General features: G+C 40.3%; 1 pseudogene; it reads left to right on the forward strand.

The window, feature by feature from the left end:
- RNU6-275P (RNA, U6 small nuclear 275, pseudogene) lies at positions 5,454-5,560 on the forward strand (annotated as a pseudogene).

The raw sequence follows: 6,618 nt of genomic DNA on the forward strand, positions 1-6,618 counted from the left end.
AACAAGAAACTAATGACCTTTCTAAAATCAAACATTCAATTATCTACAATGTCTATTTACAAACAGGGAAAACTCCATGGTTTACAGGCATGTCATATTGAAAATAAAGCTGCAATAGCTTTTTATACAATTATCGCTCTCAAGAAAATGAATCATTAAGACAGTAATTAGGAGTTCACAAATTTAAAACATTTCACGTAATTTTAAATTATTGTCTTCAATAATTTTAAATTATTGAAGTCTGAGTTTCAAAAGTGATTTTTTTCCCACAAAGGTGCCAACACTTAAGCTAGAGCTTTCAGTGTTAACTTTGCCCTAAAAGTTAAGACATATTCTGAGAATCATAATAGTCACATGATTTCTGATGCTATCTGCTCTGTTAATAACAAAGATTTCACACATGAATACCTATGTAACAAATCTCCATGTTCTACACATATACCCCAGAACTTAAAGTATAATAATAATAAAACATAGCAAAGCCTTTATCTGGATGTGTTTTTCTTTAATTAAATTATAGGAAGCTGGATATAGGATTTTGTTGCAAATCTGTTAAAGTTCCAAACACAGGAGTGTGCAGCACTGGAAAAGGAGATCAGTACTAAAACTTAAAATAAATATCAGAGAAACCATTAGCTTTTACAGCATTGTCTGTTTAAAGGTTAAGTTGACCAGGTGTATAATTTCCCATCAGTCTCTTCTTACAGTAGGCAGGGCAATTTCTATTTTCATGATCTGAATACTCAAATATATCCAAACATCTTTTTAAAGCTTTGATTTATAGCTCCTAGAAAGTTATAATTTTTAATAGTCACTCTACTCTAATGAAGCCTATTTCTGCTCATCACACTTATCACTGCTTTGAATGTGTCCCAGAGATTCCGGTATGTTGTGTCTTTGTTCTCATTGGTTTCAAAGAACATCTTTATTTCTGCCTTCATTTCATTTTGTACCCAGTATTCATTCAGGAGCAGGTTGTTCAGTTTCCATGTAGTTGAGCGGTTTTGAGTGAGTTTCTTAACCCTGAGTTCTAGTTTGATTGCACTGTGGTCTGAGAGACAGTTTGTTATAATTTCTGTTATTTTACATTTGCTGAGGAGAGCTTTACTTCCAACTATGTGGTCAATTTTGGAATAGGTGTGGTGTGGTGCTGAAAAAAATGTATATTCTGTTGATTTGGGGTGGAGAGTTCTGTAGATGTCTATTAGGTCTGCTTGGCGCAGAGCTGAGTTCAATTCCTGGATATCCTTGTTAACTTTCTGTCTCGTTGATCTGTCTAATGTTGACAGTTGGGTGTTAAAGTCTCCCATTATTATTATGTGGGAGTCTAAGTCTCTTTGTAGGTCTCTAAGGACTTGCTTTATGAATCTGGGTGCTCCTGTATTGGGTGCATATATATTTAGGATACTTAGCTCTTCTTGTTGAACTGATCCCTTTGCCACTATGCGATGGCCTTCTTTGTCTCTTTTAATCTTTGTTGGTTTTAAGTCTGTTTCATCAGAGACTAGGATTGCAACCCCTGCTTTTTTTTTTTTTTTTTGCTTTCCTTTTGTCTGGTAGATCTTCCTCCATCCCCTTATTTTGAGCCAATATGTGTCTCTGCACATGAGATGGGTCTCCTGAATAGAGCACACTGATGGGTCTTGACTCTATATACAATTTGCCAGTCTGTGTGTTTTAACAGGGGAATTTAGCCCATTTACATTTAAGGTTAATATTGTTAATGTGTGAATTTGATCCTGTCATTATGATGTTAGATGGTTATTTTGCCCGTTAGTTGATGAAGTTTCTTCCTAGCCTTGATGGTCTTTACAATTTGTCATGTTTTTGCGGTGCCTGGTACTGGTTGTTCCTTTCCATGTTTAGTGCTTCCTTCAGGTGCTCTAATAAGGCAGGCCTGGTGGTGACAAAATCTCTCAGCATTTGTTTGTCTGTAAAGGATTTTATTTCTCCTTCACTTATGAAGTTTAGTTTGGCTGGATTTGAAATTCTGGGTTGAAAATTGTTTTCTGTAAGAATTTTGAATATGGGCCCCCACTCTCTTCTAGCTTATTGGGTTTCTGCTGAGATCCACTGTTAGTCTGATGGGCTTCCCTTTATGGGTAACCCAACCTTTCTCTCTGGCTGCCCTTAACATTTTTTCCTTCGTTTCAACCTTGGTGAATCTGACAATTATGTGTCTTGGGATTGCTCTTCTCAAGGAGTATCTTTGTGGTGTTCTCTGTATTTCCTGAATTTGAATGTTGGCCTGGCTTGCTAGGTTGGGGAAGTTCTCCTGGATAATATCCTGAAGAGTGTTTTCCAACTTGGTTCCATTCTCCCCGTCACTTTTGGGTACACCAATTAAATGTAGATTTGGTCTTTTCACATAGTCTCATATTTCTTGGAGGCTTTGTTCCTTTCTTTTTACTCTTTTTTCTCTAAACTTCTCCTCTTACTTTATTTCATTAATTTGATCTTCAATCACTGATACCCTTTCTTCCACTTGATCAAATCGGCTATTGAAGCTTGTGCATGCTTACGTAGTTTTTGTGTCATGGTTTTCAGCTCCACCAGGTCATATAAGGTCTTCTTTACACTGTTCTAGTTAACCATTTTTCTTATCTTTTTTCAAAGTTTTTAGCTTCTTTGCAATGGGTTTGAACATCCTCTTTAGCTCAGAGAAGTTTGTTATTACTGACCTTCTGAAGCCTACTCTGTCAGCTCGTCAGAGTCATTCTCCATCCAGCTTTGTTCCATTGCTGGCGTGGAGCTGCAATCCTTTGGAGGAGAAGAGGAACTCTGGTTTTTAGAATTTTCAGCTTTTCTGGTCTGGTTTCTCCCCATCTTTGTGGTTTTATCTACCTTTGGTCTTTGATGTTGGTGACCTACAGATGGAGTTTTGGTGTGGATGTCCTTTTTGTTGATGTTGATGCTATTCCTTTCTGTTTGTTAGTTTTCGTTCTAAGAGTCAGATCCCTCAGCTGCAGGTCTGTTGGTGTTTGCTGGAGGTTCACTCCAGACCCTGTTTGCCTGGGTATCACCAGCAGAGGCTGCAGAACAGCAAATATTGCAGAACAGCAAATATTGCTGTCTGATCCTTCCTCTGGAAGCTTCGTCCCAGAGGGGCACACACCCGTATGAGGTGTCAGTCAGCCCCTACTGGGAGATATCTCCCAGTCAGGCTACTCAGGGGTCAGGGACCCACTTGAGGAGGCAGTCTGTCTGTTCTCAGAGCTCAAGCACTGTGCTGGGAGAACCACTGGTCTCTTCAGAGCTGTCAGACAGGGATATTTAAGTCTGCAGAAGTTTCTGCTGCCTTTTGTTCAGCTATGCCCTGCCCACAGAGCTGGGATCTACAGAGGCAGCAGGCCTTGCAGAGCTTATTGTGTTCTTTTGCTGGCAACATGTTTCCTTTGTTTTTGATGTTTCTTGTTGCTGTGCATTGACGTCTGTGCATCTGATGAAACAGTTACATGTTACAGACTTTATAGACTGGTTTTAGAGGGGGAAAACTTTCAACTATGAGTGAGTGCAAAAACACTGGCTGGGTGGGATGTTGCCCTTCCTGCTTTGGTGAGGGCACAGCAGTGTAGTCTCTGTGCAGCTCTGTCAAACTCAGACTGGGGCATGGGCACACCTGCTGCAGCATTGGCTCTGGTGTTTGCAGTGCAGGTGCTGGTGGAGTGGCCTGAGAGCCACAGTGACTCCAGGAGCTGACATGTGGGCTAATTTGCTGCGGCAGTGGCTTTGATGTCTGAGGCATGGCACTCATAAAGTTATGATGGAGCCAGGGTCCAAAGCTTAGGTGTGTGAAGAGTGACTATAGCTTCAAGGCCAGGAGTGGGGCTAGCCTGCAGCAGTGGTGGGTCTGGTGACTGAGGCATAGGTACACATAGTGTGGCCATGGAGTCAGGGTCTGGAGTACAGAAATCTACAAAGTGATAGTTGCTCCACTCCAGGATGTGGGCTGACTTACTATGGCAGTGGCTTAGATGCCCAAATATGGGCATTCATGGGGTGGTGGCAGAGCCTGGGTCACATGGATGTGCTCAGACTGGTCATGGCTCAGGGTGTGTTGTGGAGTCAGCCTTCAGTGATGGTGGCTCCCATGTCTGAAGTGTGGGTGTACATGATGTGGCCATGGAGTTGAGGTCTACAGCATAGGCATGGAGTAGCTGCAGCTTCAGGGTCTGGGGTCCCCACAGGAATGGGTTTTGGCCCTAGTCCAGCGATGGCACAAGAGTGGCTCCATTTTGGGATTAAGGGCACAGCAGTGTCTTCCTATTCAGGGCATTTGCATGGGGACAATGTCTGTGTGTTGCCTCAGTGGTGAAAGCTACCAGCATCCTCCGCAAAGGACTGCATTGACGTCCACCATGTGTCTGATACTGATAGCCCCTGCTTTCTTCTTTTTTCCTAGCCATCTCCAGATGTCTTGGGTATGCCAGTCTCCTCAGTGACCTTTTCTGTTTGTGATTATTCTCCTTTTTTTTTTTTTTTTACTCCACTGTGTTGCTTCAGGTTCTTGATTGAAACCTTCAACCCTCCCAACGCTCTCTTCAGTGTTCGATATCTGTCCAGTTGTGTGTGTTTTTGTGTGTAGGTTGAGGGGGGGGATGAGGGATGGTATCTCCTACTCTGCTATTTTGCTGACATCACTCCCTTGTCTTAAGCAAATTTAAGTAGATTTATTTTTGTAGGAGTTTCAGAATATTTTTTTACATGACAATATGCATCATAAATCTTCAAAGTAGGATGCAGAGATATAAAGGGTTTTTCTTTTCTTTTTTTTTTTTTTTTGAGACAGGGTCTTGCTTTGTCACCCAGGCTGGAATGCAGAGATGTGACCTCGGCTCACTACAACCTCCACCTCCTGAGTTCAAGCGTTTCTCATGCCTCAGCCATCATAATAGTTAGGATTACAGGCACCCACTACCACACTCAGCTAATTTTTGTATTTTTGATAGAGACAGGTTTCACCATTTTGCCTGCCGGTCTCAAACTCCTGAGCTCAAGCCATCCACCTGCCTCAGCCTCCCAAAGTGCTGGGATTACAGGCGTGAGCCACCACACCCAGCCCAAAGGGTTTTTCAATTAATTTTTTATGGAATACTTATAAATATGTCACCAAATAGTATTCTGTGACATATCTGTTGGGGAATCAGTGCTGTAGGCTGTAGAATTTAGAGGTCTAGGCACATATGGCAATGCATAATATAGTGTGTAATTCATAAAACAAATATTGTCAATACAGACTATGTAGACCCAATGACTTATTTTCTATTTATTCAGAAAATATATACAGCAGGTTTATTTTGTGACAAGATATTTCCTAGATAGGAATAAGGAAGTAAAAAAAAGAGTTCTTGTTCTTATATAGATTGCATGCTAGTGTTCTAGTGGAAAGATGCAACAAATAAATAAAAAATACATCATATATAATATATGTGCTTTAAAGATGCATAGAAGCAGTGCTTTCTTCAGCAGCACATATATTAAAATTAGAACGATACAGAGAAGATTAGCATGGCTGCTGTGCAAGAATAATATGCAAATTTATGAAATATTCCATACAAAAAACAAAACAAATTTTTAATGCACAGAAGCAGAATGGAGGAAAAGGGAGTGACAGTGGGGTACTAATTTACTTAAGGTATTTAGGGAAGCCTCTCTGTTAAGGTGACATTTGAGCAATTGCTTCAAGGAAGAGAAAAATTATACCAGAGAGATAGCTGAGGAAAAGTTTTCGGTTGAATTACGAGTTCCAAGGCTCCAAAACTTGCCAATCCTTAAAAGAAAAATAAGCGTGAATGGAGGTGTGTTTTGGAAGAGAAGCTCAGTGAAGCAGAGAAATTTGGTCACATAGTGCTTTCTAGGTCATGATAAAGAGTTTTAAATTTTATTCTGAGCAAGATAAGGAGCCTTTGTAGGCTTTGAGGTGAAGAATGACATGATTTCAATTCACTTTAAAATAAAGAAATTCCACAGACACAGAATCCTGGGGCATGAGAATGTTTTACATGGGGTGGGGGAGGGGAACTCAGAGGTTTTTGTTTTCTTTTTTGTTGTTGTTTTTACACATTCCAAGTTTGAAATCTCTGTGATGCTTTTGAGAGGGATGTGAAGACACTATTCTTAGAAAATTAAGACAATCCTCTGCCTTGGAAAATAACAACTCAATCTGTTTTTCTAGAATGAATGGATAGGCAAATATTATTTCTGTCTTTAAAATATTAAAGTTATTTTAAATCATAGCATATATGGCACTTTGCTCAAGGGGAGGAATGGTGTGGATATAAACATTTTGGAGTAAAAAATATGGCCATTATTGACAATTAGTTGAAGCCTGCCTCTGTTCCTGATCAGAGACATTGGAATGCAGTAATTCCAAGTGGAATCCCATTTTTTTTGTCTATCAGACGGTAGATGGTAGACCCTTGATGATAATGATTTTATGGTGCTATGATTTGGATATGTGTCTTCTCCAAACCATATGTTGAAATTTCATCTGAATGTTAGACGTGGGGCCTAATGAGAGGTGTTTGGGTCATGGGGTGAATCCCTCATAAATAGATTAGTGCTTTCTCTCAAAAGTGAGTGAGTTCTCACTCATTAGTTCCCTCAAGATCTGGTTGA

This window comes from Homo sapiens, chromosome 12 (assembly GCF_000001405.40).
Source record: "Homo sapiens chromosome 12, GRCh38.p14 Primary Assembly".
Taxonomy (NCBI): Eukaryota; Metazoa; Chordata; class Mammalia; order Primates; family Hominidae; genus Homo; species Homo sapiens.